The following is a 21,960-nucleotide window of genomic DNA, read 5'->3' as shown; positions in this document are numbered from 1 at the left end:
TAAAAACTGTCCCTTCATTTATTCGGTAAACATCAGGATCTGTGCTGTATGCCAAACCCCTGGGTAATGCTGAGGATAAATGCTGAGCCAAATAGACCTTCAGCCTGTGGTGAGAGGGATAGATGCTGCTCAGATCATGCAGATGTATAAATGGGACAAAATGAGATCAGGACTACAGAGGAAAATAAGATACAGAGAAGGTAGAGTTCCTGGGCAAGTGGGGAGACCCACTTTATGCCTTCAGTATGTGTTCAGAACTCAATATAAGTTAAGACCTATAGGAGGCACGAGTCAAGTAAGTGAAGATTGTCATAGGGAGAACAAGTATTTTAGGCAGAGGAAACAGCATGTTTGAAGGCCTTGAGCAGCAATGAGCACATTATGTCCTTAGGGAAGTGAAAGGAGCATAGAAAGGAGCTGGCTAGAGCGTAGAAAGCAGAGGGAATGACTCTAGGTGAGTTTGCAGAGCTAAGTAAAGGCCAAACCACAGAGGGCTTTATAAATCATTAGAACTTTGTGCCTTTTTCTCCTAAGCAATCAGCAACCATTGAAAGGTTTTGAACTGAAACCATACTTCAATCAGGTCAGTTTTCACACTGGCTGTATTATGGAAAATGGATTTGAAAAAGAGACAAGAATGGTATTGGATGGAACAGGAGGCCATTGATAAAGTGCAAATATCAGTGACCAGTAAAGGGCCAGTCACAGATTTTGTCATTTATATTGCTACTCTATTTAAATAGGACATTATGCAGAAGCAGTAGTAGGCCATGGTCTAGAATTTGTAACATTTCTAGCTAGCAGTCTCTGCCTGTCTTCTTCACTCTTCTCTACATGTGGGTTCTTGTGTTTGCCATAAACTTCTGGACAGCGGTCATGTCTGAGAGTTATGAACTAAGAGTTATGAGATAATCTTTTTGCTCTTCCCAAAGTATTGCAGCCACAGCTATTAAGAGAATTGAACAAGTAATGAGTGCTTATGATGTGCCAGGCACTATAGTGGGCACTGGCATATGGAGTGAGTAAAGACAGAGTCCCTACTTTCATGGAACTCATTAAACTGGGAGCAGATATTAAATCTTGCAAATAAGTAATTACAAACTGTGAAGTGACTGTGTCTACTTGCCTTGTCAGTTACTAAAAAAAATCTTAAGGAAATAATCTTCATGGATCCCAGTCCCACGGCTACCTTGTATGATCATGCAGTTTGGCTGTTAGACAAAGATGGCTGGCCAAGGGAGTTAATCAGGACTACAACTCTGCTAGAATTCCACTTGCCAAGCCGCACCATTGTGCAAAGCTACATCCGCCCAGAGGGAAGGATACATTTTTCTTTGTGCTAAGGTGTCATGTAGGTCAGCTTCATCTCTCCCTCTGATATCAGGAGTGAATTCCCTATTCTCAAAATTGAATGGGAGGCTTTGCCTCATAAATACGTAGCTGCCCTGAGCACAGAAGTGTATAGGAGGTGAAGGTCTAGGAATGAGTGTAATTTTATGCTTATAAAAAAATGGAGTACACTCAATTCTCCATATTCATGGTCCCGCATCTGCAAATTCAACCCACCACAGATTAAAAATGTCCAAAAATTATAATACAGTAATAAAAAATAATACACATAAAAATACAGTATAACAATGATTTATATACCATTTATATTTTATTAGGTCTTATAAGTAATCTAGAAATGATTTTAAATATACAGAAGAAGTGAATAGGTTATATGCAAATAAGTATGGCCATTTCATATAAAGGACTTGAGCATCTGTGGTTTTAGTATCTGTAGAAGTCCTAGAACCAATCCCTGGCAAATAACAAGTGATGACTGTACAAAGAAGGCCTCGGACATAGATACATTTTTAGTACATAGATAATTTTTTTAAGTGGGCCCTTCATCTTCAGGGATTAGATCAATGTTGTATAGACCTAAGACAACGTGTCCCAGTGGTGGAACAGTGGAGGAAAAATCTGGTCTGTGCATCACGAGATGGTTGTACTAGGGTTAAGAAAATTAAGGGAATCATACTGGGAAAGCTATGATGGAAGAGGAAGGAGGAGCCCATATATAAAATCGAGTATTGGTTTCTATTCTTTTCTTTTTTTTTTTTTTTTTGAGACAGTCTTGCTCTGTCGCCCAGGTTGGAGTGCAGTGATGTGATCCTAGCTCACTGCAGCCTTGAACTTCTGGGCTCAAATGATTCTCCCACCTCATCCTCCTGAGTAGCTAGGATAACAGGTGTGCACCACCATGCCCAGCTAATTTTTTACTTTTTATAGAGACAGGGCCTCACTGTGTTGCCCAGGCTGGTCTCCAACTCCTAGCCTCAAGCAGTCCTTCCACCTTGGCCTCTCAAAGTGCTGGAATTCCAGCCATGAGCCACCACACCCATCTTGGTTTCTGTATCTTGAGTCTAGTTAATTGAACAAGGCTTTACTCCCATAATCTTAAGATTCCTGACTCAATTTTGAAATAATGGAATCCCTGCTTGTGGGAGTGATCCTGTTTCTGGGAAGAATTCTTCCACAATAGAAACAAAAAGCAAAGGACTAGGATTCGGGTAGCTTGAAGTTATGGCTCTTCCCATCAGTTTTATGATGTTGGACAACTGGTAGAGAACCTCTCTGGGCCTTAATTATTGTATTTCACCTGGATATATCAGACAGCCGACTTCCTCACTGAGTTACAAGGCTTGAATGAGATTGAAAACAGCTTCATAAACTGAGGCAATAAAACAAGGTTTTCATAAAATGCTACTTTAGAGTGTCAGAGGTCTGACTCTGAGCTGAGTTGAGCTGGGTGGGTTGGCTGAACCTCTCTACCTTGGTATGGTCTGTTTCTGAGTGGGGGTTTGGGCTCATCTGTCTTTAGGCTGCACCAAGGGCTGTGACTACACGCTAGCATTGATGATTGAAAACATTTTAATAATTTGCCATAAATATCCAAGACAATAGGTAGTTTTCTGATTCTAATAGATTATGTTCTGAGCATAGGCCATCTGTCACCTAATGAAATCTGAGGTCAATTATAGAGAATTTTTCCTCCATTTGATGGGACCCATAAAATTTAGGTCACTCTCAAGCACCAGCACCAACCTTAACAGAGAGCACATATCAAAAGATACAGATGTCTTTTGTTTGCCACATATCATATGAGAAAATATACTTGAAATTGTAGGATGATGTAAATGGGTATGTTCAGTATAGGTCTACATTTGATCCAGCAATCCCACTACGGGGTATCTACCCAGAGGAAAAAAAGTCATTATACGAAAAAGATACCTGCACACACATGTTTATAGCAGCACATTTCGTAATTGCAAAAATGTGGAACCAACCCAAATGCCCATCAATCAATGAGTGGATGAAGAAACTGTTTTTTATAGATAGATAGATAGATAGATAGATAGATAGATAGATAGATAGATAGATGATAGATGGATGATGGAATACTACTCAGCCATAAAAAGGAATTAATTAATGGCATTCGCAGAAACCTGGATGAGATTGGAGACTATTATTCTAAGTGAAGTAACTCAGGAATGGAAAATCAAATATTGTATGTTCTCACTCATAAGTGGGAGCTAAGTATGAGGATGCAAAGGCATAAGAATGACACAATGGACTTTGGGACTCAGGGGGAAAGGGTGGGAAGGGAGTGAGGAATAAAAGACTACAAACTGGGTGCAGTGTATACTGCTTGGGTGATGGGTGAACCGAAAATCTCACAAATTACCACTAAAGAACTTAACTTATGTAACCAAACACCACCTGTTCCCCAATAACCTGTGGAATTAGAAAATTTTTAAAAAATGTATTAAATCCACTCTTTGGAACTCAGATAACATCTCCAGAACACCCCAGTGCTTTGTTCCCAACATCCTTTCTAAGTCTGCACCAAACAGCACAGGCACTCTCTTCTCCTCACGTATCTTCCTTGATCATCACTGAAACTCATGTAGAAGGATGAACTGGAGAGCCGAGTGCTGAAAACCCCTCACAGCTGTCTTCTCTTCTCACAGCCTTTCATCAGAATGGCATCACACTATCTAATTTTCCCCATCTGGTAGGTGAGAAACGGTATCTCAGTATAGTCTTAATTTGCATTCATTTGTTTGAGTGAGGTTGAACACCTTTTCATATGTGTAAGGGCCATTTTTATATCGTGTTTGTGTGTGTGTGGTCTGTTCATGTTTTAAGCCCATTTTCATGTCATATTTTTGGACTTTTTCCTCTCCATTTTTAAGAGTTCTTTATATATTAGGGATATTAGCCCTTTCTGATGTATGTTGCAAATTTTTTCTTCAAATTTCTCCGTTGTATTTTTACTTTGTTTATGGTATTTTCCCACACAAAAGGTTTTTTATGCAACAAAATTTATCAAATTGTTTTTACTATATCGAGATTCTGAGTCATAATTAGAAATCCTTTCTCTATACCCATTTTTTAAATGAATTTGCCTCACCTTTTCTTCCAGTATTTGTTTCTATGCATTAATGAAATTATTGTCTAGATATAAAAACCCCAAATATTCTATAAAATAGATCCTAGAACCAACAGGTGAGGTTAGCAAGTCACAATATATATGGCTAATATTCAAAACACAATTGAATTTCAGTATTATAAAAATAAATGATTGGAAATTAAAAATTTTAAAATACTACCATAGTACCATTTACAATACATCAAAAAACAAAATACTTAAGAATAAATCTAACAAAAATATGCAAAGGATTGTATGCTGAAAACTGCAAAACACTGCTGAAAGAAAGCAAAGCCTTAAATAAATGGAGAGATATACTGTATTCATAGATTGGAGAACTCAGTAGTGGTAAAATGTCATTTTTCTTCAAATTGACCTATAGATTTAACACAATTCCAATCAGAAACATAATAGGCTTTCCTGTAGAAATAAGTTGATTCTAAAATTTATGTGGAAATGCAAAGAATGTAGAATACCCGAAATAATTTTGAAAAAAGCAACAAATTTGGAGGGTTCATACTAACTGATTTTAGTTTTTTTAATTTTTAAAATTTTTTGTAGAGATGAGGTCTCCCTATGTTGCCCAGGTGGATCTCAAACTCCTGGGCTCAAGTGATCCTTCTGCCTTGGCCTCCCAAAATGCTAGAATTACAGACATGAGCCACCACACTGGGCCCTAACTGATTTTAACACTTATGGTAAAGCTATAGTAATTGAGCTAATGTAGGCTTGGTGAAGTAAGATAGACAAGTAGAATGAAGAAACAAGACAGGAAATTTAAAAAATAGATCGATGCATAGAGGATCAATGAACTTTTGACAAAGGTGCAAAGGCAATTCAGTGGACAAAGGATAGTCTTTACAACAAATTATGCACATCTACATGTTAAAAAAAAAACCCACCTTGATCCATATCTTGTACCATATACAAAAATAAACTCTAATGGGATCATAGACCTAAATGTAAAATCTAATGGTATAAAGCTTCTAGAAGACAGCATAAAAGAAATATTCTTAAGTTTGGGTGAGGCAGAGGTGTCTTAAATATGACAACAAAAACACAATTCATAAAATTAAAAACTTGATAAGTTGGACTTTATTAAATTTAAAATCATTTCTCTTTAAGACATTAAGAGAATGAAAAGTAACATCAGAAGCAGAATATTTGCTCTCTCTAGATATCTCTGTATACTACATATATCAAATAAGAGCCTTATATCCAGATTATAAAAAGAACTATCAAAGTTCAATAATAAGGAAACAACAATTTATAAAACAGGCAAAGAATTTGAACAGACGCTTCATCATAGATGATATGTAGTTGGCAAATAAGCACATTAAAAGAGGTTCATAGTGATATGCAATTAACATCATTTTTAGGATATACAAAATAAAGCTACAGTAAAATACCACTATTGACCTATAAGAATGAATAAACAAAAAAAAAAGCAAAAGAATACAGTTGACAATAGCAAGTGCTGTCAAGGATGCAAAGCAACTGAAATTCTCATACATTGCTGGTGGGAATAAAAAATAGGGAATAGTTTGGGCATTTTTAAAGTTAAACCTGTATTTACTCCTGGAAAGCTTTCTTCTTCTATTACAGTTCTGTTTTTGTTTTTTTAGGGACAGGGTCTCACCCTGTCACCCAGTTCAACAGTTCAATTATAGTTTTAAATGATAGTTACATTGTTTGCTATTTCTTCTTCATGTACTCCAGTTATACCAGTGTTGCTTTGGACTGTCTTCCCTGTCAATCACTTTCTTCCTGACCCATTTCACTTCTTTATTTCATTTCATTTTCTTGCTTGTTTGCCTTTGTTCAGTGCCCATATTAAATTTCCATCTGAGTACATTCTCCTTTGGGTGCTATAGCGAGGTGATGATGACCACGCCCACCCCCACACCCCAAAAATGTCTACTCAGAACCTGGGAATATGATCTTATTTGGAAAAAGGGTCTTTGCAGGTGTAATTAAGTATCTCAAGATAAAATCATCCTAGGTTTTCTGGTTGAGCCCTAATTCCAATTCCAAGTATCCTTAGAATAGAAGGAGAGAAGACACATAGAAACGATGGTAATGTGGGAAGGAAGGTGGAGATTAGAGTGACGCATCTATAAACCAAAGAACAACAAGGATTGCTGGCAGCCCCCAGAAGCTATGAAGGAGAGATAGAGCAGACCCTTCCCTCAGAGCCTCGGGAAGAAACAAGCCCTGCCAGCCCCTTGATTTGAGACCTCTGGCCTCCAGAACTGTGGGAAAATAAATTCCTATTGTTTCAAGCTCTCAGTTTATAGTAATCTGTTAAGATAGCCCTAGGAAACCAATATAAGTACCCTCTTAAAATTTATGTTTCAATCCTAAGATTATTTTTCTTTTTCTTTTATTTTCTTTCTGAGTTCAATCAACACACTGTTCATTACTTCCCATTTTTTTCTAAATCCATTTATATTTTAATTTCTGATTAAAGATAGTTTTTCAGGCCAGGCGCAGTGGCTCATGCCTGTAATCCCAGCACTCTGGGAGGCCAAGACAGGTGGATCACTTGAGGTTAGGAGTTTGAGACCAGTCTGGACAACATGGTGAAACCCCGTCTCTACTAAAAATACAAAAATTCCCTGGGTGTGATGGCGCCCACCTGTAATCCCAGCTACTTGGGAGGCTAAGGCAGGAGAATCTCTTGAACCTGGGAGGTTCAAAAAATAAATATAGTTCTAAAATTTATGTTTGAACCTGGGAGGTTCAAATATATACATATATACACACATATATACATATATATACATATATACACATATATGTATATATATGTATAGCTTTTCACATGTCTATACTTGTTTGAGGTTATTTGAGTCTGGAGTGTAGCATTGCAGTTTTCCTCTGCTTCATGGTCATTTTTGTATTTACCTCCCTTGGAGTGGTGGAAAATTTTTATCACTTGAGGTGTGTTGAGTCTCTTTCTTTAAGAAGCTTTGCATAGATTTATTCCATTTTTTGTAATTCTTTTTGTGGATGTGGGCTAATTTACAAGATTCTTCATTTAATGGTGCCCTCTTCTGTCAATGTGGTGAAGTACAGCTTCTTTAATGATTGTGTTTTGGTACTTGGGGGAGGAATAGTGTGTCTTCCAGGAGATATCCAAGCCTGTTATGCACACCAAAAAATATAAAGCTCTATCTTAAAGGCTTTACCTTTCAAATCCAGTATAGTTGAAATTTATTGTCTCTGAAGGAAGAACCTCCAAGAGCACACAACACGGTGTCCTTGCATTACTGTCAGGTGATAACTTCACATTTCCTTATATGGCATGTTTCCTCTGAGCCATCCATTCCCACCTTCACCCTGCTGCCTCCTCCCATGTGCCCTCTCTCTCTAAAAACCACGTTCTGGTATGTCCCACAAAAGCAAGGAGATGTAAACTAAGAAAGAAGCAGTGTGAGGGAAAAAGGAACAAGATTCACAGAGGAGCAAAGGAAATTCCTAAGATGATGATGAAATGAAGTTCTAGGAGAACACTTGTTTAATGTAGGGTTAGAGATCACCAGTTCAGGAGAGACAGCGCCCCCAGAGACTCCCCTCCAAAATGAAGCTTATAGGCCAGGCGTGGTGGCTCATGCCTGTAATCCCAGCACTTTGGGAGGCCAAAGCGGGCGGATCGCTTGAGGTCAGGAGTTCAAGACCAGCCCGGCCAATGTGACAAAACCCTGTCTCTACTGAAAATACAAAAATTAGCCAGGTGTGGTGGCACACACCTGTAGTCCCAGCGACTTAGGAGGCGGAGGTGGGAGAATTGCTTGAGGTAGGGAGGCAGAGGTTACAGTGAGCCAAGACCATGCCACTGCACTCCAGCCTGTGCGACAGAGTGAGATTCTGTCTCGAAAGAAAGAGAGAGAGAGAGAGGAAGGAAGGAAGGAAGGAAGGAAGGAAGGAAGGAAGAAGAAAAGAGAAGAGAAAAGAGAAAGAGAAAGGAAGGAAGGATTAAAAAGAAGCTTATAGAATATTTAATATTTATAAATAATTGTACCAACAAAAGTTTGACAGCTGTGTCAGAATTTGGGGATAAACTGGTGATATTACAAAAGAATACTAAGCAAACAAAAAAATGTAATCATTAACTCCAGGGTAGGGGGGTGGTTAAAGAAAAGGAAAGAGGCCAGGTGCAATAGCTCACACCTGTAATCCTAGCACTTTGGGAGGCTGAGGCAGGTGGATCATCTGAGGTCAGGAGTTCGAAACCAGCCTGACCAACATGGAGAAACCCTGTCTCTACTAAAAATACAAAATTAGCTGGGCATGGTGGCACATGCCTGTAATCCCAGCTACTCGGGAGGCTGAGGCAGGAGAATCGCTTGAACCACAGAGGCGGAGGTTGTGTTGAGCTGAGATCACGTCATTGCACTCCAGCCTGGGCAACAAGAGGGAAACTCTCTCTCAAAAAAAAAAAAAAAATGCAGGGGGCGGGGAAAGAAAATGTAACCATGAAACCCATACATAACTCAGCTGTAAATAACATTTACATAGTCAAAACATATAATCTTTGAATATTGACTTAACCAAATATGATGCTATTATAACTACATTAGGAGTGGGGTATAGAAGAATTGTGTGTGGATGAGGTGTGAATTGTAAGATGGCTAAATCTTTATCATCTATTGTAGTAAATAATATTTAAAGTCAAAAAACAAAAACATGGCAGTATAATCATATCCTTTAGGAAAATGAAAGTGAATACTATAATAAATGGCGAAGATTTGAAAGTGGTTCCCTCTGGGAACAGGAATGTATAGGTGAATGGGAGAGAAGAAATGGAGAATGGGTGCTTTCATTGTGATACTCAGGTGATGGTCTGAGGATCATGCAGAAGAAGTATTAATGTAGCATTCTCCTGACTTCCATATCAAATACAGGCACTCCTTGACTTAAGGTGGGATTAAGTCTGAACAAACTGATATTTTCAACTTATAATTGGTTTATCCTGATGTAGCCCCATTGTAAATTGAGAAGCATACTGAATGCTTATAACTTTTGCACCATCCTAACGTCAAAACCTCTGAAGTTGAACCATAGTAAATCGGGGACCATCTGCGTCTCCACTCACGCACACTACAGCTCCTTTGTAGGCCAATTCCCCTACACCGTCTCTACATCTTATATTCTAAGACTCAAATCAGGTCCCGTATTCTCCTGAATGTCTTCCCTGTTTGCTTGAACAAAACTGGTCTCTGAGCACTCATATTCATAATCTATTATACTTCTTTGGGCAGCTCATCAAATTCTCTTTCATAGTATTAGGTAAGAGTGATTTGGAACTTGCAGCAAATGCTAAGCCCTCAGAGGAGGCAGGGAAGTCATAAATGCTTGTTCAATTAAAGCAAACACATCCTGAGAGAGGATGCGGTGTCTTCAGAGCCCTTACTGGTGACCAGCACCCAATACATAGAAGAGAGGAAGGGATGGGAAGGAAAGAGTGGGGAATGGGATGGGGAGCAGGGAAATTAGGTAATGATGGTCAGCACTCACCCCTCCAGAAGACATTTCTTAGAGGAGGACTTGAAACAAATATGCAGGAGAGATTAGTGAGAAAGGGTAGATAGTTAGGATGTTTGTGTTTTTGTTCTATATTTTTTCTCCAGCCTAGGAAGCGTGCTAAGGAAAGTGTCAAAGAATCTCAACAGCAAGTACTGTGGTGATCAAATCCTGTTCCTCACACCCTTTTATGTTCTAGCCACTATTGACAACCCCACTAAACGTTAACTGCGATGCCGTTGGTAATAATTGGAGTCAACGTCCACTGACTCTAGATTAATCTACCTCAAGTCTGACCTCCAGGAAGCCTTCTTTGACCACTCCATCTCACACAGGATTGCTTGATTCCCTAAACTCAGCACGTTTCTTCCTGTATCACTTTGGAGTAGGCATAAGAGTGCCCTGGCCAGATCCCCTGAGATCCCTCTTCCCAGTTCTGTGCCTCCATCCTCTAGCTTCTACATGATCTGCAGCAGCAGTCAACATCTGTGACCTTCAGAGATCTTCTCCCAGGCACTAGGGCTGCCTGCCCCAGCTGAGAGCAGGAGGTGCCTGGGTGCTCTGTATCTAATTCTACCCCCTCTCCCCAGCTCCTTTGCTGTGAAACTAAATGAGGAGTCAATCATTACTCTCTACAAATTTGGGTTGAAACTGAGACTTCACCAAAAGTTGATGTCTTGTTTAGTCTCTTTTCCTCTCCTCTGCTGCTTCTCCCACTTCCTTACTGGTTTTTCCCTTAATAAATCACTAGCACCTGAATCCTTGACTCGGGATCTGACTCCAGGAGAGCCTATTTTAAGACAGTTGGCCCCAAAAGTGGTCTTAGGATGCACACTTTATGGATGAGATTCTGACCAGATGAAAATGACTTCATGTCTTGTGTTAATAGGCCCTGGCAGGCCATAGCAATGCCATTCCTAGAACTTTCACCTGTGGTTAACTAAGACAGGAAACAGAAGGGAATGCTCTGATTTGTTCAATATCTTCAGCGATTGAGAGATACAAAGGAAATCATTTATAGCTACTGCAGAACAATTTGACTATTGCTGAGTGTCCTCGATACACTGAAGGGAGAAAGGCCATGCCGTTCAAAGCATAAAATTATATACCATATGAAAAGCAGCTCCTGGCTAGGTAGGTATTAAGCTCCCATAGAGACAGAGCATCTCATCAAGTGACTCTAGGATCCGAGCTGCTTATCTTGAGCTGAGAACTTTCAGAACTACCAAGTCATAACGTTGGGCAGGCTCAGCAGCAATCTATCATGTGATAGAAGTGGTAGGTTCTAGATGCAGCTGCAGCAGATCCAGAGGGCACAGTAATCTGCATGAACAGGTGGCCCGAATCCCCATCACTCATCACCAATACAATGATACTTCTCCTTTGCTAACCCTTTGGCCTCGTGTGGGAGTTTCCTTTGACCAGCTATCAGAGGAGGAAAATTACCAGGTCTGATTCATGGATACCTTATTGAATATCTTGGTATGAACCAAAAATGGACTATTACTGAACTGTATCCCCCCTCCTGGGTGGCCCTAAAAGACAATGGTGAGAGAAGTTCTCTAAGTGGACAAAGTTTGGACGTTGCATCTGGTCACCTATGTTGTGTACAGTGGGAAGTGCTATATGGTAATGATATGTGTACAGGAGGCTCTCTATATCCACTGGTTCTACTCTGAAGATTCAACCAACTGCTAATATCAGAAATATTTGGAAAAAATGCAACAATAAATAAAACAAATTTTTTTTTTTTTTTTTTTTTTTTTTTGAGACGGAGTCTCGCTCTGTCGCCCAGGCTGGAGTGCAGTGGCGCAATCTCGGCTCACTGCAAGCTCCGCCTCTCGGGTTCACGCCATTCTCCTGCCTCAGCCTCCCGAGTAGCTGGGACTACAGGCGCCCGCCACTACGCCCGGCTAATTTTTTGTATTTTTAGTAGAGACGGGGTTTCACCGTGTTAGCCAGGATGGTCTCGATCTCCTGACCTCGTGATCCGCCCGCCTCGGCCTCCCAAAGTGCTGGGATTACAGGCGTGAGCCACCGCGCCCGGCCAACAAATTTTAAAAAATATATAGTATAAGAACATTTACATAGCATTTACATTGTGTTGAGTATTATAAGCAATCTAGAGATGATTTACTGTATACGGGATTGTGTGCGTAGGTTATATGTAAATACCATGTCATTTTATATAAGGGACTTGAACATCCACAGATTTTGGTATCCAAGGGGAATCCTGGCAACAATCCCCAGTGGATACCAAGGAATGACTGTATATAGCCTCATGGATAGTAGTGGCTGATTAACCAGGGGCCTAGAGGAAGAAAAATTGGAAAATCAGGAATAAATAGTCTGGAGATGAACATGTGGATTAACCTATGGAAGTGGTCTCAAAGTGTGAGCATCTTTATAGCACATATTTAAGGCCCACAAGTAAGCGTCTACCCAGAAGAGACATTAACCAGCTGAACAGAGTAGCTCTTCCAATGGATATGAGCTCACCTTGGTTCTTGGCCATCCCAATTTTTGTGCAATAGGCCCACGAACAGAGAAGCCAGGATACCAGAAACAAAGACACTATGTACAGACCCATGGGCTCCCTCTTAGCAAGGCAGATCTAACTACTGGCATTGCTGAATGTCTCAGCTGTCAGAAACAGAAGCTTACACTGGAGCCCAAATATGGTACTAACCCTCAAGTAAAACAACCAGTCACTTGGCAGCAAGTTGATTACATTGGACTCCATTCACTCTGGAAAGCCAAACATTTTCTTCCCATTGGGATTGTCACGTATTCCAGGAATGGGCTTGCCTTTCCTGCCCACGGGCCTCAAACAACATCACTATCTGATGAAGGGTTAAAGAGCATCTGATTAACCAGCAGGGCATACTATGTGACAATGCCTTGGATGTCTGGCCATGGGCACAAGACTGTGGAATCCACTCGTCCTACCACGTACTATATCATCCAGAGGCTGCTGGCCTAACAGTGTTAGGCAGAGTTGAGGTGCCAGCTTGGAGATGATAATCCTCTGAAGGTGGGGTCCTATGTTGTCAATAGATAGAATAATTGATTCCAGAATTCAAGTGGTGAGAGTAGAAAGTGGACCTACTTACCATCACTCCCACTTGGGGAATTTGTACTTCTTGTCTCCCCAAACTCAGCCACTGTGGGTCTCAGGTCCTGTTTCACAGATGAGGTGTACTTCCACCAGGGGACACATTAAGAATTTCATTTAAAAAGCTATGACTGATAACTGGTTGCTGCCACTATACCAGAAATAAAAGTCACCATACTAGCAGGAGAGTTGACCCTGACATCATGAGGACGTAGAATTGCGCTACCTAATGAAGGTGTGGAGGAATATGTTCAGAATTCAGGTGGTTCTCTGGGACATTTCTTGATATTCCCACGGCCAGCATTAAGTGGGAATGGGTAGTTACAGCAACCATGGCCTGATAAAAGCATGGTAGCCAGGGGCTCAGGCCTTTAAGGGTTGAAGGTCAGGGTCATGTCACCAAGAAAGCCACCTAAACTAGCAGAAGTGGTATCCAAGGGCAAGGGAAATCTAGAAAGGGTGGTAGAAGAAGAAAAGGACAAATAGATGGTACAATCTCAAGACAAACTGCAGTAGTGAGCACTCAGCTTATTCCATTAACCTATTTCTTAGAAGTTTCCCCCAGGATCTTTAACCAACCAGAATTTGGAAGATACTGTGATGAGATGGAGTGAGCTTAAGGATGGAGTGAGAGAAGCAAGCTCATCTGTGAAATACAAGAGGTGAACTATAGCAGTTATGTTGATACTCACCCTCCAGATCCTCTCAGACCTCTTCTATCAATTCCATGTACCCCAGCTTCTGCATGCTTTGTTGCAAATGGCTTAAACCCAAGATAATAAAAGGACTGATCTTGGGCATTGGAGCTGCCTACCCTAGTCCACCATTTCCACCACTTGACTGACATACCTAATAGGCATGGGATTTTTACATGTTTCCCAACCACAGGGAGACTCATGAGCCAATTATTGATGGGGGGAGCATTCAAATGCTCAGTTCCCTTGCTTCTAGGCAGGTAATCTCTATTAGTCAGGGTTCTCTAGAGGGACAGAACTAATAGGATAGATGTATATATAAGGGTAGTTTATTAAGGAGTATTAACTCACACAATCACAAGGTCCCACAATAGGCCATCTGCAAGCTAAGGAGCAAGGAAGCCTGTCCAAGTCCCAAAGCTGAAGAACTTGAAGTCCAATGTTCAAAGGCAGGAAGCATCTAGCATGGGAGAAAGATGTAGGCTGTGAGGCTAAGCAAGTCTAATCTCTCCATGTTCTTCTGCCTGGTTTTATTCTGGCCAAGCTGGCAGCTGATTAGATTGTGCCCACCCAGATTGAGGATGGGTCTGCCTTTCCCAGTCCACTGACTCAAATGTTAATCTCCTTTGACAACACCCTCACAGACAAACCCAGGAACAATATTTTTCATCCTTAAATCCAATCAAGTTGACACTCAGTATTAACCATCACAACATGCAAGGTATAATTTATACTCCAATATTCTCCATGGAATCGGGCTGAAGCTAGACCTTCCCCTGAAAGTACCCTTGTGCTGGCTTCTTCCTCTTTCCTATCTTGTATCCATTCCTTACTGATTCCTCTAGAGAGCAATTTCCTAATCAATCATGACCACCCAAATCCTTAACTCAGTGTCTGCTTTTGGGAGAACCTGATGTAAGACACACTCCCTTGTACTGTATGAAACTATCCTATGCCATTAATTTTGCAAGCTTGTATTGATACTTAGAACCAACAATGTTAACTTCACTCTTTTATGCACATATAATTTGACTTCTTACTACTCTGTAAACTCCTTTGAAAGCAAAGACCATGTCTCATTAATCTTAGTTTCCTCATCTGCACATGGTAATAATAGTATCGTCTCATAGTTCAACAGCTAACAACTTCTCCATAGTTGTTACAAGGATTAACAGTTAATATGTTAAGAGCATAGAAGTGTTCCTGGCAAGTGGCAAGTGATATATGAGAGTCTGTCACTAATGTTGTCATTGTTATTTTTGTAACTCCCTCACATGGCACCAAGACTAGGCACAGTGTATTTATGCTAGTATCTCTCAGTTGAATGAACAAGTGAATGGGTGGATGGACGGATGGCAGAACAAACGTATTAATTTTTAAAAGTTCTAAAAGAGGAGGGTGCAAAGAGATAGCTGCAAGATTGGGGCACTATATTCAAATACTTTAAAATGTACTTTATGTCTAGACTAGAGAATCTGTTATAACTGAAAGTTGCTGAATTAGGCAATAGTATAAAAAACTTCAATGTAAGGACAAATTTGGAAAGTGTTACACTTCATAAATTCCACAAAAAAGTGTGTTTCAAACTTGCTGAATCAAAACACAGGTTCCACTGTGTTATATAAAATAGCACATAACAAAGCATTTTCACTGATAGCTTGTTTCTAGTTTTTAGGGCTGGATATTCATATGTTAATACAAGGGCTCAATAGACTTGGAAATGTCACTGCTTAGATTCTACAAAAAGTGCGTTTGGGACCTGTTTCCTTAAAACGCAGGTTCAATTCTGTCCACTCTTGAGTAGTGGGCTGGTGTTGGTGTCCTTCCCGCTGGTAAACGTGAAGCACTGCTATGAGGCTTCTAGTGGCATTTACCGTGGTCTGGTGAGAAATAACTCACACAAGTGAAAGTGATGGAAAAAGAGGTGGAGATTACTAGCTGCTGGACAAGCGCAGCAGACAGTGAAGTCAGCTTCGTTACCGCAGGCCAAACCACTAACCCTTTCCTCTTCGTGAATACTGCCTGGGACATTATAATCTACCACAGTTGTATTATGTGATTGAAAAAGCAGCTACTCAGGGTTTCTCTGTATTTTGGCTTGCTCCTAGAATTCTCAGTGGAATACTACTTTATAACTCAGTGCTTCCCAGGGCCACACACTTTCCCTGTGCAGTATGTTCCAAGAATGGGATGTTCCACATTTGGAAAAGAAATACTCATATAAAGTCCTCACAGACATTTCTCTTTTGATTTCCTTCTACCATGATTTATGAAGCGGTCACAGCATTTGTCTCAACCTGAGCCGCAGAGTTGAACAGATTTTCAGCATTTTCAGAGGAGTATGCCTGTGCCTACCGACCAATCCTTTTCCATTCATGTAACCGGGTCTCTAGATATGCCTTTGCCAAGCGGTTTTCCGAGCTTCCTGATGAAGAACTTTATGGAACTTCTCCCCACCTGTTTTAAGGCTCCTTCAATCTCTCTTTGGCAAAATGGTAAAACAAACATCTGAGGAAGCACCAGTGAGTGCTTGGATCATGCCCGGCCCTGAGCCTTCAGTCCTGGCCCCTGTTTATTCAGCTGGGCAGGCTCACCCGTAGGCTTCCGCAGAGCAGAGATGTGGCCAGCAGTGACAAACATAAGACCTCATCACCACAGAAAGACAGGTCAGATCTCATGTCCGGGGGGAAAAAAAGTCACTTTTGTCACTAATGACTTTAAAAATTCACTTATTCAAGCAAGCACACTACACTGCAGCTCCCACTATCATCCTGACTGGCCTGTGTATGTGCGTGCACAAGGACTTCCCGGTCACAGGCCATTTTTGCTTCCCGAGGCATTGCTTTGACCTAGATCCTTCAGTTGGGGATCTAGCCCCCTGAAATGCCTACCCGAAAAGGACAGAGAGGGCCGGGTGCAGTGGCTCACACCTGTAATCCTAGCACTTTGGGAGGCCAAGGAGGGCAGATCATGAGGTCAGGAGATCGAGACCAGCCTGGCTAACACGGTGAAACCCCGTCTCTACTAAAAATACAAAAAATTAGCCAGGTGCGGTGGCGGACGCCTGTAGTCCCAGCTACTCGGGAGGCTGAGGCAGGAGAATGGCATGAACCCAGGAGGCAGAGCTTGAGTGAGCCGAGATCGCGCCACTGCACTCCAGCCTGGGCTACAGAGCGAGACTCTGTCTCAAAAAAAAAAGAAAAAGAAAAAGAAAAGGACAGAAAGGCACTGAACCTTTCATTATAACAGCCATCACTTTCCTCCTTTTCTGTCTTTCTTCTATGAGCACTAATGCCAGACACCAACCATTCTTGTGGCCTCTTCCTACTACCACGATGCTGCCACTGAAGCTGCAGACTTCTCATTGCCACACTGAGGTTTCAATATTTCATAGGTATTGCAGATAATCTGAACTCATGGGGTCTTCTCATATTTTCACTGTAGTCCTCTCTTCCTAGCCCACAAGACAGGGCCATAGAACAATCAGTGTTCCTATTCCCTTCTATTGTGGCCCCTTGAACTTAGGCCTCTGGTTCACCTAAGCTCTGCCCCCTCCCCTATGGACGATCAGGGAGCTCCTTACCAGTGGGGCCTGGGGCATGGAAGGCTGGAGGCAGTGAGGGATACAAGACTACATATTTGGTACAGTGTACACTGCTCAGGTGGCGGGTGGGGCACGGGGAGGCCCGTAGCGTCCCTATTTCCAGTCTCTGAGAGAGAGCCACATGTTTGAATGAACCCAGATTCTGCTGAAGTAAAACTCCTGTAACATATTTATTTCAAGTTTTAATGAAGAGATATTTCAATTTCTGGCCAAGATGGAGTAAAAGAGACTGGATTTACCCTCTTACATGAAACAAATAAAGAACATGAAAAAAATAACAATATTTAAAACATTGGAAATCAGGTAATAACGAATAGTGGATTCCTGAGGAACAGGAAGCAAACAAGTGGTATCCAAAGGGAACAAATTATTGCCAGGAAACTTAATTGCATCCCAGAACAAAGCTCAAGATATTGATAAAAATACAAAAATATCTAGCACCCCAAAAGAAAATACTTGCAATGTCTGGCATCCAATAAAAGATGACCAGTCATGCAAAGAAGCAGGAAAACGTTATCCATAGTTAGGAGTAAAATCAGCTAGAACTGACCCATAGATGATATACTTGATATAATTACTAGACAAAGACATAAAAATAGTTGTTAAAACTGTATTTTACATATTCAAGAAGCCAAAGGAAAGATCAAAACTATAATATCTCGGATAAAAACACTCTGGATGGGATTAATGGCAGACTTGATATTGCAGAGGAAAATATAAGTGAACTTGAAGACATGGCACTAGACACTACCCAAAATAAAATAGAAGAAAGAATAATTTAAACAATTTAGAAAGGACCAATGAGCTATGGAACAGCCTTAAGCAACCTAACATTCATGTTATTTGGTTCTCCAAAGGAGGGTGGGCATGGGGGTCCATACCTATAATCCCAGCACATTGGGAGGCTGAGGCAGGGGGATCACTTGAGGCCAGAGATTTGAGACCAGCCTGAGCAATAAAATAAAAATTTTCTTTGACGAGACAGGGTCTTCTATGTTGAGGGAGCCAGGCATGGTAGCATGCACCTGTGGTCCCAGCTACTCAGGAGGCTGAGGTTGGAGGATTGCTTGAGCCCAGCAGACTGAAGCTGCAGTGAGCTATGATCACACCACTGCACTCCAGCCTGGGTAACAGGAGAAGACTCTGTCTCAGAAAAAAAAAAAAAACAGATTTTTCAAATCTGATTAAAACTGTAAACATAGTTCCAAACAGCTCAAATAACCCTAAGCAGAAAAAAAAAAAACCCACAAAGAAAACTACAAGAAGGCATATCATACTCCCATTACTTAAAACTACTGATAAAGATTAAAAAATCTTAAAAGCAGTAAAAAAAAGACATTGAGAATGACATCAGCAAGAAGACAGAATAGGAATTTTCCAGCTCCATTTCTCCTCCCCCACCACACATACATACACAAATCCACTGGCAACTACTCACAGACAAAAACACCCTTGTGAATATTCCAGAACTTGAGAGTGAAGCTAAGACACCCCCTTATACCGCAGAACTGAGAACAGCCGCATGCCAAGAATAAGAGGAGTAGTTTCACTTTGGCCACATTGCTCCTCCCCCAAGCTGGCAACGTGCCACACATAGAGGATTCTCTGGGACCCATGGTTGTTACACAGGGAGGAGAGAGTTGGAGGTGAACATTCAGCTTTGCCACCATTCTGGGACCCTTCAGAGGAAGTGTTCTCTTGTCTCATCACACAGGAAGCACTGGGAGTATCAGCAGAGCTAGACATCTGAGATCACTTGGAGATAAAGAACAGATGTGGGGCTCACATCAACTAGTGCAGGAATCTTGGCAGCTGTCCTGCATTCAGGCCAGTGGAGGTGCACCACCAGAGAAGCTAGCCAACAGCGCTGCTCTGGACTAAGCACAGTCAACTGGTCTCTCAAATTCAGGTACCTGGCCAGCTTCCACAGCCAGTCCTGTTACCCTCCTTGAAATTTACCCAGGCTGGGAGATAGGGGCAGGGCAGTGATTATCTGTAAAGGGAGTATCTGGCCCCACCCAGCTCCATCAGCCAAAGAGCTAAAACACCAAGCCTCAGTGCTCTGCTTAAGGTTATCCTGGGATGAGAAGCAAGCTCAAGTTCACGCATATCTGTGAAGCATCGCCTCTGGCCCCGTCCACCCAGAGTAGTTAAGTAGTGATCCGAGAAGCCTTGCTCAGCCTCAGAGCCCAGCATGCAGTCCTGCCAAACTACAGATTCAAAACTGCAGTACTGGCCAACCAGAGAAGACAGCCTACAACACGGCCTGTCAAGGAGCAATCAAACAGCTCAGCCTTACTGCAGAGTCCAGCCACTGGTCTCATCAGACTGCGGAGCACAGCCAGCATTTCAGGTTTGTTTGTTTTTTTTAAAGGAGAACATTTTATTAATACTAGCTATTTCCAATAAATTCTCTGAATAATTGTAATGTTGTCTTTCTCTGTACTTCATGCCCTTAATATTACACTCATTTCTTTTATATATATGGTAAATTTAATTTCTCCTTTCTTAAAATTATTACTTTATTTCAGTAGCTTTTGGGGGTACAAGTGGTTTTTGGTTACATGGATGAATTCCACAGTGGTGAAGTCTGAGATTTTAGTGCACCTGTCACCCGAGCTGTGTACACAGTATCAAATATGTAGTCTTTTATCCCTCACTGCCCCGAACCTTCCCTGCCCCATGTCTCCAAAGTCCATTATATCACACTGTATATCTTTGTATCCTCATAGCTTAGCTACCACTTGTAAGTGAGAACATATGGTATTTGATTTTCCATTCCTGAGTAATTTCACTTAGAATAATGGCCTCTGGCCCCATCCAAGTTGCTTCAAAAGATATTATTTCATTCCTTTTTATGGCTGGGTAGTATTCCATATACCACATTTTCTTTATCTACTCATTGGTTGATGGGCACTTAGGCTGGTTCCATATCTTCACAATTGTGAATCGTGCTGCTATAAATATGTGTGTGTGTGTGTCCGTTTCATATAATGGCTTCTTTTCCTTTGTGTAGACACCCAGTAGTGGGATTGCTGGATTGAATGGTGAATCTGCTTTCAGTTTTTTTAAGGGCTCGCCATAGACGTTGTGCTAATTTACATTCCCACCAGCAGTGTAAAAGTGTTCCCTTTTCATCATATCCTCGTGAACATCCGTTTTTTTTTTATTTATTTTTTATTTTTTAATTATGGCCATTCTTGCCGGCGTAAGGTTGTATCTCATTGTGGTTTTAATTTGCATTTCCCTGATGATTAATGATGATGAGCATTTTTCATATGTTTGTATACTTCTTTTGAGAATTATCTACTCCTGCCCTTTTCCCACTTTTTGAAGGGATTATTTGGTCTTTTACTTGTGGATTTGTTTGAATTCCTTGTAGATTCTGGATACTAGTTCTTCATTGAATGTGTAGTTTGAAATATTTTCTCCCACTCTGTGGGTTGTCTGTTTGCTGATTATTTATTTTGCTGTGCAAAAGCTTTTTAGTTTAATCAGTTCCCATTTATTTATTTTTGTTTTTGTTGCATTTGCTTTTGGGGTCTGAGTCATGAATCCTTTGTGTATGCCAATGTCCAGAAGAGTTTGTCTAATGTTATTTTCTAGAATTGTTATGGTTTCAGGTCTTAGATTTAGGCCTTTGATCCATCTTGAGTTGGTTTTTGTATAAGGTGAGAGATGCAGATGGTTTCATTCTTCCACAGGTGGCTTGCCAGTTTTCCTAGCACCATTTATTGAATAGGATTTCCTTTCCCAAATTTGTGTTTTTGTATGCTTTGTTTAAGATCAGCTGGCTATAAATATGTGGTTTATTTCTGGGTTATCTGTCCTGTTCTATTGGTCTACCTGCCTATTTTTATACTAGTACCATGCTGTTTTGGTAAGTATAGCCTTGTAGTATAATTTCAAGTTGGAATATGATGCCTCCAGATTTTTTTTTTCTTAGTATTGCTTTGGCTATGTGGGCTCTTTTTTGGTTCCATGTGAATTTTAGTATTGCTTTTTTCTAGTTCTGTGAAAAGTGATTATGGCATTTTGATGGGAATTCCATTGAATCTGTAGTTTGCTTTGGGCAGTGTGGTCATTTTCACATTATTAATTCTTTCCATCCATAAACTTGAGGCATGTTCTCATTTGTTCGTGCCATCTGTGATTTCTTTCAGCAGGGTTTTGTAGTTTTCCTTGTAGAGATCTTTCACCTCCTTGGTTAACTATATTTCTAGGTATTTTACTTTTTTTTTGCAGCTTTGTAAAAGGGATTGAGTTCTTGATTTGATTCTCAGTTTGGTCGTTGTTGGTGTATAGCAGTGGTACTGATTTGTGTACAATGATTTTGTAACCTGAGGCTTTACTGCATTTGTTGATCAGATCTAGGAGGCTTTTGGATGAGTCATTAGGGTTTTGTATGTATACCATCATATCATCAGCAAACAGTGATAGTTTAACTTCCTCTTTTCCAAATTGGATGACTTTATTTCTTTCTCTTGCCTGATTGCTCTGGCTAGGACTTCCAGTACTATGTTGAACAGAAGTGGTTAAA

General features: G+C 40.8%; 1 annotated feature.

Moving 5' to 3' along the window:
* Positions 18,963-19,012: an enhancer, noted in NCBI's record as "active region_20965". NCBI's record gives its function as "activates an Ori minimal core promoter by ATAC-STARR-seq in GM12878 lymphoblastoid cells {active_cell/tissue: GM12878}" and the evidence as "EXISTENCE:reporter gene assay evidence [ECO:0000049][PMID:35858748]".

This window comes from Homo sapiens, chromosome 3 (assembly GCF_000001405.40).
Source record: "Homo sapiens chromosome 3, GRCh38.p14 Primary Assembly".
Classification (NCBI taxonomy): Eukaryota; Metazoa; Chordata; class Mammalia; order Primates; family Hominidae; genus Homo; species Homo sapiens.
Note: the sequence above shows the minus strand (reverse complement) of the source record. Positions and strands in the feature narration are given on the sequence as shown.